This window comes from Homo sapiens, chromosome 16, assembly GCF_000001405.40.
Source record: "Homo sapiens chromosome 16, GRCh38.p14 Primary Assembly".
In the NCBI taxonomy this organism is placed as follows: domain Eukaryota; kingdom Metazoa; phylum Chordata; class Mammalia; order Primates; family Hominidae; genus Homo; species Homo sapiens.
The window spans coordinates 24,166,966-24,179,455 of NC_000016.10; the positions used below are offsets into that span (position 1 = coordinate 24,166,966).

General features: G+C 43.3%; 1 protein-coding gene across 3 annotated transcripts in view; it reads left to right on the top strand.

Annotated features, from left to right (window-relative positions):
• The window catches only part of PRKCB (protein kinase C beta), a 384,629-nt gene that overhangs the window by 330,983 nt on the left and 41,156 nt on the right, over positions 1-12,490 (top strand). For all 3 annotated transcript variants that reach the window (NM_002738.7, NM_212535.3, XM_047434365.1), the window contains 2 exons: positions 5,305-5,396; positions 7,553-7,615. In NM_002738.7, coding sequence (NP_002729.2) covers positions 5,305-5,396; positions 7,553-7,615 — 155 coding nt within the window. The remainder of the gene's footprint in view (positions 1-5,304; positions 5,397-7,552; positions 7,616-12,490) is intronic.

A 12,490-nucleotide genomic window follows, 5' to 3' on the forward strand; every position in this document is an offset into this window, starting at 1 on the left:
GGGGGCAAGCCGAGTTCTTCCAAGCAGAAAGCAAGCAAGTGAAATCTCTCTCTCACTTACTTCTCTCTCTGTGGCCAATGCCATCTGCTAGCTTTAAAAATAATTTTTAAAACAAGTGTTTTGGTTCTCTTCAACGTGCAGCAAAGACAGATGCTATTTTTAGGCTTGTTTTCTATTAAAAAAAAAAAAAAAGCCAAAGAACCAGGGGCTGGGTGTCGGCAGTTCTGGCTTACTGTCTGCATTTTGCCACCAACTTGTATGTGACCTTTTGGCAAATCTCCTATGCCTTGGACCCTGAGAATATAAGTGATCATTTCACCTCCTTTTCTCATTAGACATGTTGAGAGGGTGAAGCAGTATTGGTCTGAGAAATAAAAACCATTTTCTAAAAATTAGTCAGTGTGGGCAACATGGCAAAACCCTGTCTCTACAAAAAATACAAAAATTAGCCAAGTGTGGTTGTGTGAACCTGTAGTCCCAGCTACTGGAGAGGCTGAGACAGGAGGATTACTTGAGCCTGGGAGGTTGAGGCTGCAGTGAGCAGAGATCACGCCATTGTACTCCAGACTGGGCGACAGAGTGAGACCCTGCCACAGAAAAAAAAAAACAAAAAAATTGGTTAACTTGTGCTCTCCTGTAACCTGCCAGCTTCTGTCTTGATGTACCACTAAATCTCCATGTTCCTTCTCTCCCATCCTGGACTGGAAGCTCTTTGAGGGGAGGACACATCCACACATCCATACAATGTCTAGCTCAGAACCTTTCACACAAGATGTACCCACTGGAGGCAGCATCATGAGGGGTTGAGAGTGTAGAGTCTGGAACCCAATGCCTAAGGTTCAGACCCTGGCTTTGCAGCAGCTTATCAGCTGAGAGACCACTGGCAAGTTACTTACCCTTTCTGAGCTTCAACTTTCTCCTCTTTAGAAGGGAGAGAATGATTATACTTGTCACATTGAGTTTTGTAGAGGGACAAGTGAGACAAAATATGTAAAGCATTCAGCTCATCACGTGGTAAGTACCCAAGAAAGCTTAATTTCATTATTGTTGTTGTTATAATTATTAGGCACTCCCACATTTGATAAATGCACATATGACTGTTACATATAAGATAAAGTTCTATGTGCTGTATGGAAGATTTTTTTAAATGGTGAATTAAATGCTTGTTATATGGCCAGCATCATGTTAGACACTCTACACATGTGTCCTTGTTTAATATTCTGTGGGCAAGTGAAAAATGTCCCATCTACAGGTGAAGAGAAAGCCCAAAATTAGATTAAATAACTGCTCAGTGTTGCAGTTAGTAAGTAGTGCAACAAGACTTCAAATACTGTATTGACTTAAAAGGTGAAATCTTTGCTTCACTTTCCCACCACCTCTTCTCCCGGTTTTATAGCCCCTCACAATAGCTTTGCAACTTTTGACAGCAAGTCACCTTTTACGTTGTGACTCAGCCATAGCAACATATAAATATAACCAAAACATATATTCCACAAAAAGTACTTAGTGGTGTTCTGTGCAGCATGCACTGATAATTTCCATTTCATCATTTCATTATTTTTCTTTCTTCTTCTACTTTTTTTTTTTTTTTTTTTTTTTTTTTTTGAGACAGTTTCACTCTGTTGCCTGGGCTGGAGTGCAGTGGCACCACCATGGCTCACTATAGCCTTGAACTCCTGGGCTCAAGCGATCCTCTTGCCTCAGCCTCCCGAGTAGCTGGGACTACAGGTGCTCACCACCATGCCTGGCTATTTTTTTTTTTTTTTTTTTTTTGGTAGAGGCAGAGTCTTGCTATGTTCCCCAGGCTGTTCTCAAACTCCTAGCCTCAAGTGATTTTCCTGTCTCGGCCCTGCCAAAGTTCTGGGATTACAGGAGCCAGCCACCATGCCTGACCTCTTTTTTCTATTATTTTTTTTTAAGTTGATCATGACCCACCAAATTGATTCAATCATCAATTAAAGTGAGATACAACTTGAGTTTGGAAAACACTTGTCTGGCTTCAATACTCAGGCAGTATTGCCAGGACATCTCATTTTCATCACATTTACAGTTTGCAGCCCTGTGTATGTTTCATTCCAGCCCCTCAGTCAGTCTGTTAGAGATTATCGCATATGTTATCCTCATTTTATAAATGAAGATATCAAGGCTCAGGGATGTAAAATGGTCTTGCCAAGCCTCCCCAGTAGTCAGAAAACGTGGAGTCAGAGCTTTGATTCCAACCTTCTGACTGTATGAATGCTGCTTTGGAGACCCAGTAACTCCTGCTGCCTCGAGGATCACCCATTTATTCACTTAATTAATGTATATTGATGGCTCGCTTTGGTCAGGCATGGTGCTGGGCTGTTGGTACACAGCGGTAAACAAATTTTACATGGCTCCTGGATTTGTGGAACGTTCAGTCACATTTCGCATTAGTCCATTTCTTTCAGAGTGAGACCCCGAACCTTTGTGTTAGCCTACGTGACCTTACATGATGCGTCCCTCAGCACCACCCTGGGCTCATCTCCTACCCTGTCCCCCTTCTTCTTTCTTCTCCAAGCACATGAGGTGTGCTCTAGCCTCAGGGCCTTCGCACAGCCTGTTTCTCCGCCTGGTAAGCTCTCACTCTCAATACCTGCATAGCTGCTTTCGTCATCTCCTTCAAGTCTTTGCTGAAGGATCGCCTTCTAAATAAGATTATCCTGAATACTTTATTGAAACTGGAACTCCTTTCTCCCATCTCATCCAGCTGGTACTCCCAATCCTCCATACTTTGCTCTGTTTTTCCCCCGTGGCACTTTTTAATCTTTTAGCCTTCTATTTTTATTTTTATTTATTTATTTATTTTTTGAGACAGAGTCTCACTCTGTTGCCCAGGCTGGAGTGCAGTGGTGTGATCTTGGCTCACTGCAACCTCCACCTCCCAGGTTCAAGCAACTCTGCTGCACCAGCCTCTCGAGTAGCTGGGACTACAGGCGCACACCATCATGCCCAGCTAATTTTTGTATTTATATTTTAGTAGAGACAGGGTTTCACTATGTTAGCCAGGCTGGTCTCGAGCTCCTGACCTCAGGAGATCTGCCCGCCTCAGTCTCCCAAAGTGCTGGGATTACAGGCACGAGCCGCTGTGCCCGGCTATCTTTTAATATTCTATATAATTTGTTTATTATGTTTAGCATTTATTGCCTTTTCTGTGTCTACTTGCTAGAATGAAAGACAAAGGCCAGGAATTTTTGTTGGTTTTGTTCACTGCTCTATCCTCAGCACCCATCTATAACCTGGTACCTAGTAGGACTCTGTAAATTTGTTTTTACTTGAATAGATAGATGAAATAAATAACCATCAAGTTCAAAATATAATTAACAAATTATGATGTGGTCAGAGATTAAAAAAAGAAAAGAAAAGAAAAAAGCCCACAGGCTTTCATGAAAGAGTATAACGGCAGACCTAATTTAGATTGGGTGGGTTAGAGGAAGTGACTTTTTTAGGCTGAGAACATAAGAGGGACTTCAGTTCCCAAATTCGTTAGCGCAGACTCTGCCATTGCAAGCCAAAGGAACGTAGCGTAAAGGAGAGATTTCACCCAAGCAGAAGTCTCTAAGAAGAGATAAAGTGATTCATTCATTCATTTAGCAAACACCCTCTGATGGAAGGAGAGAAACGAGTCACATATTGGTGTTGCCCAAGGGCCAAAACACACATCTGACTTATTTAATTCCAGCAACATCACTGAGGTTCTACTATTATCTCCTCTTGACACACAAGGAAACCCAGGTGTTGAATAACTTCTCCAAATACATCCAGCTATTAAGAGACAGAGCTGGATTTCCAAATGAAGTATCTTTGGCACCAAAGCTTGTGCCCTTTCCCTCTCTGGGCACCTGCTATGTGCTAGTTGTGCTATCAGAAACAGGGCTTACACAGCCAACAAGGGCATAGCCCCTGACTTGAAGAAGTTCACAATATCCCTTGAAAGACATGCTGAAAAACTTCCCTGATTAGGACACAGATTTTTTTTTGTCCCCAGTTCTTTTACTTCTGGACATGCCTTCCTAGATTACTGTTTTTCAAACCTTGATAATTCATCTTTTTGTTTTTGATAGCCACTATGTTATCTATTGGTGAGTACCTCAAAATTCAGTGGCTTAAAACAATAAGCATTTATTATCTCAGTTTCTGTGGGGCAGGAATTTGGGAATGCTTTACCTAGTTGATCTGGCTCTGGGTCTCAAAGGAAGCTGCACTCAGATTGCCAGCTGGAATTTTAGTCATCTGAAGCCTTGTCTCGAGTGAAGGATCTGTTTCCAAGGTGATTCTCTCACAGGACTGGAGTTGGTGCTGGCTGCTGGCAGGAGGCCTCAGTTCTTTGCCAAATGTACCTTCCCATAGTACTGCTTGAGCATCCTCATGGCATGGCGGCAGGCTTCCCAAAAAGCAAGTGATCTGAGAGAGAGCAGGGTGGAAGTTGTAGGTCTTTTACGCGCTACTCCTGGAAGTCATTCATTGTCATTTTTGCAGTATCCAATGGGTTACACAGGTCAGTCCTATTCATTAGGGGAAGGTACTACACAAGAACATAAATACCAAGAGACTGAAAAATCACTGTGGGTGGGGGGAGCATCATAAAGGCTGGCTACTACAGCTATCTATCACCTGTAACATTATTTACTTAATATTTTCCACTTTTTGTTAAAATCAGCCTTATCCTAAACAATAATATCAGTTAAGTCACAAGATTAATATGCTAATTGTATTTTCCAGCAAAAACAAATATAAACTTGTAATTATTATTATTATTATTATTTTTGAAATGGAGTCTCACTCTGTCACCCAAGCTGGAGTGCAGTGGCATGATCATGGCTCACTGCAACATCCCCCTCCCGGGTTCAAGTGAGTCTCCTGCCTCAGCCTCCCGAGTAGCTGGGATTACAGGTGCCTGCCACCACGATTCGCTAATTTTTGTATTTTGTTTTTTTTCAGTAGAGATGGAGTTTTGCCCTGTTGGCCAGGCTGGCCTTGAACTCCTGACCTCAGGTGATCTGCCCACCTCAGCCTCCCAAAGTGCTGGGATTACAGCTGTGAGCCACCATGCCTGGCCAAAGTTGTAATTATTAATGAAAAAAATTATCTGTGTATCACCTATGCTCACTTGCGTAGTTCCAGTGACACAAACCTTACCCTTGGGGAAACAGGAAGCCCAGCAAACAGGGATCTGTCAGAGAGCCCTGGTAGTTTTCATCATAAATTCCAGCTCTTCCCCCACTGTCCATTTGGAGCCCCAGAAGCTACGGGATGCTAATGTTGCTGTTTGCTGTCCTCTTCCAGGACCGCCTGTACTTTGTGATGGAGTACGTGAATGGGGGCGACCTCATGTATCACATCCAGCAAGTCGGCCGGTTCAAGGAGCCCCATGCTGTGTAAGTGAGAACTAGTGCTGTGCTTTCTCCTTGGGATAAATGGGTAGGTTAGTGGTTCCTTTGAGGGTGTTTTTTTGCCAAAGAGGGATCTTTAAACACCTCGGGCATCTTTTTGAAAAAATATTTAGCCAGGGAAGAAAGGTGTTCTGCTTAATATGAGATACTTCTTTTTTTTCTGACACCAGCTAAGAACCTGAAGCTCAGACAGACACCATGGCTCATACCTGTAATCTCAGTGTTTTGGGAGGCTGAGGTTGGAGGATCACTTGAGCTCAGGAGTTAGAGGCCAGCCTGGGCACCATGACGAGATCTCGTCTCTATAAAAAATAAAAAACTTAGCTGGGCATGGTGGCGCACAGCTGTAGTCTCTCCTAAAAATAAAACAAAACTCAAAGCTCTAAAACCACAGCTATTTATTTATTTCTAATTCATGTCCCTGACTGCTTAGAAAGGCCCTATATCTTCCTTGGGGATTATCATTGTAGATTTTATGTGTCCATTTGCTAATATTTATTGAGAACTTACTATAAGCCAGGCCCTAAGTGCTTAACAAACATCGTCTCACTTAACCTTGAGAATAACTCTGGGAGGGAGATGCTACCATCCCTGCTTTACAAACAAGGAAATGGAGATGCAAGGTTTTGAAAGCTTGCCCAAAATCATGGAGCTAGTAAGAAGCAGTTCCCAAATTCTGACCCCGGTTTTTCTTTGCCCATGTTCTTTATCTTACACCACTCTCCGTCTTAGATGCCTTCACTCCATGGGGGTGAAGGATCAAGGTGCTCGGTGGCAATGGTCTGTGGTTCCTGTGATGGGGAGACTGATTCTGGGTTGTTGGAAATGTGTTTCCTCTGCTGAGTCAATTCCATCCCCTTCGGTTCAAAAGGCAGCTACAGTCTCTTCTTTTTAGAACACAGATTTCATCATGTCATTCCCCTGCTTAGGAACATGGCAAGTTATAGGAATTAGCAATGATAACCTCTCCTGGGGAGTTTTCTAAGATCTTATTGCCTCTCCAGAGAGCCCCCAGAGCTCATCTAGAACCCCACCTTGTCATACTAGAGGCTTGGTGGCTCCTACCCAGTTCAGCTTGCCCCCTCTCCTCCCACCTGGACAGGTTGTGAGCACTATGTTCTGATAGGATTTGCATTATTCTTGTGCTTCCAAATCTAGCCATTTGTATCTCCTGGCATGACTCTAATAGGACTAGCTTTGCTTTTACTTCTAACATCTAATTGACCACAGGCTTTAATTCCATTGTCACACAAGACATGTCAAGACACTTTACATAGTTCCCCAAAGCCCTGCCCAACCTTTGTGGCATAACTGGGCTTCCCAGTTCTCTTGAAACCTCTTTCTTTCTGTGCTGACCTTCAATAAGAGGTTACACTTTAGACAGATGTTGTTTCTTATTCCAGCTGCGCCATTCATTCACTATATAACTTGCCCAAGTTAATCTCTCTAACCCTCAGTTTCCTCATTTGAGGAATGGGGAGATACTAGTAGGACCTACCTTACAGGATTGTTATTAGGATTAAGTCAGGTAATGCCTAAAATGGTGCTGGGGAGATGGTAAACCTTCAACAGATGTTAGCTGCTATTGTTAAGATAATTTAACTTGCTATATAGTCTGAAAGTATAATTCTCTCTTTTTTGGGGGGGTGGGGGACAGGGTCTCACTCTGTTGCTCAGACTGGAATGCATTGGTCCTGACCATAGCTCACTGCAGCCTTGATCACCTGGGATCAAGCGATCCTCTTGCCTCAGCCTTCCGAGTAGCTGGGATCACAGGCATGTGCCACCACACCCAGTTATTTTTTTTCTTTTATTTTTAGTAGAGACAAGGTCTCACTATGTTGCCCAGCTAGTGAAACTATAATCCTTCATCCAGTTCATCATATCCCATGTCCCCTTCTCCACTATACAATTGCTGAACTTCTGCCTACCCCCAGTTTGTCCTTAAGGCAACCCCATCACCCTCTAAACCACCCTTTGAATCCATCTGTACTTTCAGCACTTTATGAGCTATATAGCTGACCATCCATGGGTTCTTTAATGTCCTACACCTAGTTCAATATTGTATTGAATTCTGAGCATTGCCAAGCATATGGTGTCCTTGAGTTTCTCCATCGCTTTTTTTTTTTTTTTAATTTCAGATTTTACGCTGCAGAAATTGCCATCGGTCTGTTCTTCTTACAGAGTAAGGGCATCATTTACCGGTAAGTGAACACTGCTGTACTTTCCATCTCTTCATCTCCCTCAGCTCCTCCCTGCCCTGCCTCTTTCTTCAGCTGCTTTTAAAATTAGAATCCGCGGTGGGGGAGGAATCCTCCAGAACTAACTTGGGCATGTGTTCTGCCAGGCAGCATCGCCCACTGCCCTGGCAAAGTTTGGGCAGCTCTATATGGTGGTAGAAAATCTCGGTGGACTGTGTCACCAATGATGGTTCAGAGCCTCAAACAGGAGACTGTTTGCTCTAAGAGGAGACTCACAGAGAGGACCTCAGTACTTCTTTCTCTTGCTTGTGGACCCTACATTTGAGGAGCAGGCAAAGAATTTTGGCTGGCAGAATGTGATGGATCACATTATTATGAAACATTTTTTATTTATTTATTTTTTTCTGCTATGTAAGTACAACTTGGAAATGGATCTCTGAGTGGCTGCCCTGAAAGACAGGATTAAGTTCAGGACTTGGCATTTGCTGGTTTTTGGAGGAGCAAATGGATGATCATAGCTGCATGAGTCATACCATTTTATATTTCATGCAAGGCAGACGATTGCACCCGAGGCTGCTATTTGTCAGCAAGTCCAGGGCGTACAATTCTCCTTGTACTACATTGATGCAAATGGCATAGCCAGGGCAGGCTTGGGCTGGTTTGTTATGCAAGAGAGGCTGCAAGGTATGAGGCCTCCAAATAGCATTTGGCATGGGTGGGGGTCTATTTCAAAGATTATGAAGAACCACAAGAGTCTCTTCCATTCATGTGTTTGACACACATTTATCAAATCCTACTATATTCTAGGCACTCTTCTGGGTGGTGGGCATACAGAAGTGAATAAAACAGATGAAACCCCTTGCCCCCGTGGAGTTTATCTTTCTCATGGTGGGAGTTAGATAAGTGAATCATAAAAACATAGTCTGCCAAGTAGTGATAAGTACTATGGAGATAAATCAAGCAGGGGAGGGTGCTGGTGTACACTGGGTGTTGGAGGGTTCTCTCTCATTCTGTAGAGAGCATGATGATGAGGGCCTGGAGAGTTAGGGGTGACTTGAGAGTCCTGGGCCTTTTGCCTTAACTGCGGGATATGGGATTAAAAGGCATGAGGGGGCTGGGCACAGTAGCTAGCACCTGTAATCCCAACGCTTTGGGAGGCTGAGGCAGGAGGGGTGCTTCAAGCTAGGAGCTCCAGACCAGCCTAAGCAACATAGTGAGGCCCACATCTCTAAAAATAAAATAAAATTAGCCAGGTGTGATGGTGCATACCTATAGACCTAGCTACTCAGGAGGCTGAGGTGGGAGGATCAATTGAGCCCAGGAATTCAAGGATGCAATGAGCTGTGATCATACTACTGCATTCCAGCCTGCGTGACACAGCAAGACCCTGTCTCAAAAAAAAAAAAAAAAAAAAAAGGCATGTTAAGATTAGCCCTGGTAAGTACAAGGCAGATAGCGGAGGCCAGGCTATGGGATGCTGGTAGGATGGAGAAATGGGAAGTGGGGACCTTGTCAGAGGCTTTCAGAGTCCTGGGGCTTTTAGTCACACCTGAAGTGGTGATATGGAATCTATAGGGGGAAGGATGATCTTATTCTGAGGGCACAAAGTCCCCGCCATTCCTACTTTCTCCTAATGATGGAGGGAAGAAGGTCAAGAAGAGGAGTGGTTTTACTTGGCATGTGGGTGATCCTAGTGAAAATGTAAAAATAGAGAGAAGAAGAAGAATTTAGAAGCTGAGGCAAGAGGATCACTTGAGCCCAGGAGTTCGAAACTGCAGTGAGCTATGATTGTGCCACTGCACTCCAGCCTGGGCAACAGAGCAAGACCATGTCTCTAAAAAAAGAAGAATTTAAATTTTAAATAGTATGATCATTCTGCCCATGCCCATGTTTGCCCTCAATGAACACGTTCACTATGTGTGCATGAAATGGCACATGGAAATCCTCTAATTCCCTTAGTTTCTCTTTTGACTCTCATAGTGACAACATCTTTTTGTGCTGAATATTATTCTGGTTTTGAAAGGTGCACATGAGGCTGGGCGCAGTGGCTCATGCCTGTAAACCCAACACATAGGGAGGCCGAGGCAGGCGGATTGCCTGAGGTCAGGAGTTGGTGACCAGCCTGGCTAACATGGTGAAACCTCATCTCTACTAAAAAATACGAATATTAGCTGGGTGTGGTTGCACATGTCTGTAATCCCAGCCACTCGGGAGGCTGAGGCAGGAGAATTGCTTGAACCCGGGAGGCAGAGGTTGCAGTGAGCTGAGATCACCCCGTTGCACTCCAACCTGGGCAACAAGAATGAAACTCCATTTCAAAAAAAAAAAAAAAAAGTACACATGATCCGCCATATGACATGATCCCTAAATTCAAGCCGATGACTTCAGCTGGTGCTTAACCAAAGAGACAGGCATCATGGGTGATTTTTCACTCTACATGATTTTCAACTTGGGTGCTGACATTAGGACCTAACTCCTATGTGGGATGTGCCTCTACTAAAATAGAACCAACTGGGTTCTTGAGAAGATTAAATATGGAACTACAAGTTTATTGGAAGAAAATCCACTCCCATTGTAGGAAACAGGAGAGGAAATAATTAGTGTTCCGGTCAATTGAGTTGTGATTCAGGGCTAGTTTCTAATCAATCAGGAAGCCGCACTGGGATCTGGGATCCATGGATCCGGCTCACTGGCCAGGCAGGTGGTAAAATTAAAAGATTAGCATTTCAGGTGCTAAGATGATACCTATTCCAAAGCCCCTTTTCCTAAACTAACTACACACTCTCCCTTTCATCTTCCACTATTAATATGGTCTTTAAAGGGGTATTTATCAATCTTTTAAGCCAGTCTGCATCTGAACCCTTCTTTTGTGTATGTGGAAGAACAGAGTCAATCTTCTACTATAAATAATGAAAATGACAGATACTCATTTCACAGCCCACCTGTAGCCAGGGCAGGCACACAACCCAAGCTCTGACAGTTGGTCATACTTACTCAAGACCTTGAATCAGAAACTAGCGGCCAAGGAAGCAGAAAGCATAGAATCAAGAGTGACCATAGTAATTATCAGCAACTACTTTCCAGAGGCAAGAGAAGAGGGTCTTAATAGCAATAGGCAGAGTCCAGCATTAGGGCTTCGTGGAACAAGGGGTGATGTGTGTGTCCCATGGCAGCTTGGGTGGTGGTGTCACTGGACAAGCCCTGAGTTGCAGTTAGGCATTGTTTCAGGCTGTATAGACTCTTAATCTGGTTCTTCAGTCTCCTCAAAGATTCTATGAGCTCCCCAATATCCTTTGATGAATTCCTTTTCAGGTAAAAATCATCATAGTTGGTTTTTGTTGCTCACCATCGAGAACGCTGATGGAAATAGAGTTCTTGAAATTGATAGTCAAATGGAAATGGTAAAAAATAAATTACTTGACAAAAGATGTATGGTTTTATCATTTCACAGAGATTGATTTCATAGTGGTAAGATCTTTTAAGATGTTACAAATCACTACCTCCTTCATCTAAATCTCTACTTAATTGAACAGTTCTTAAGTAAAGAGGATGAAGGATTATGTTAGACTTACCATCTTTAAGGAACTGGAGATGTTGGGTTGTGGGGTGGGAAGGGAAAAAGATTCTTCCTATCAAACTTAGTGTCTGATTTACTGACCACTGTCTCTGGAATGTGTGTTGGTTTTGCCCTTGATGGTTTTCTGAAAAATGAAAATAATTTCTCCATCCACCTTTTGAAGCAGAAATGCGGATTTATTACACAGAACAAAAGATTAGGGTGTGATATCAAAACACTGTATGTGACAGTGAAGATGACAGAGGTGCCCTCCAGCCTCAGGACTGCCTGGCTCTTGGCACCTGAAACTTCTTTTCTATAATAGATGAAGATTTTATCACTTCCCTAGTCTACCCAGCTGCCTGCTTCTGAGCATGTGGTCGAGCTGAAGGGTTGTCATTTGTCACTATTAGAGAAATCACATATATCACATATAGACCTACCTAGTAAGTTTATGAAAAGCAAATTGCTGCAAAGCCTGGGTTTTCTGAGTTCCAAACTTTCACACAAATCATGGTGGCTTGTAGATGAGCATGAAGGCTGGATATGAGCAGCACCACGGACAGCGCCAAAGGCATGGCGTGTTGGGATTGGCAAACATCAGTGGGCAAGTGCAAGTGGACCTCCCCATCCCTTTGAATAAGGAGACCCCACAGACACAGATAGGAGATGCCAGGATATAGTTTTCAGATTGTATTCTTTTAGTTGGAAATGATGACAGCAACTCAATTCAAAGTAACTTAGGTTAAAAGAGGCATTTATTGGTGACATAACTGAAAAATCCAGGTGCAGATCTGACTTTAGGCCTGGATAAATGCAGAGGCTCAAGTGACGTTATGAGGGCACATTTTATCACCCTCCCTCTAGGCTCTGCTTTCTCTATATTAGATTGCTTCTTTTCATCTGGTGACCCCTGGAGTTTCTAGACTTCCATAATACCACCTGAACAACCCCAATGTAAAATGCACTTATCCCTTTCCTGATTATGCCAGCCAAAGTGCCAGCACTAATACTTAACAGCTTTGATTGGCCCAGATTGGATCACATGCCCATTCCTGAATCAATCACTGTGACCAGCAGGATGGAATATTTCCATTGGCTGGGACAGGCCCACTTGACCACTGCTGGAGCCATGTTACATGGAAGCCATGTTACACCCATGTTACATGGAAGAATTGAAGGAGGGTGGTTCTTCTAAGAAATATTAGAATGCTGTCATCACAAAACACTAGAATAGACAGAACCACAGATGCCCACTACCCAATCAAGATGACCGAAGGGAAAGATCTGAATTAAGGAATAGATCCCCCTACCTCTCAGGA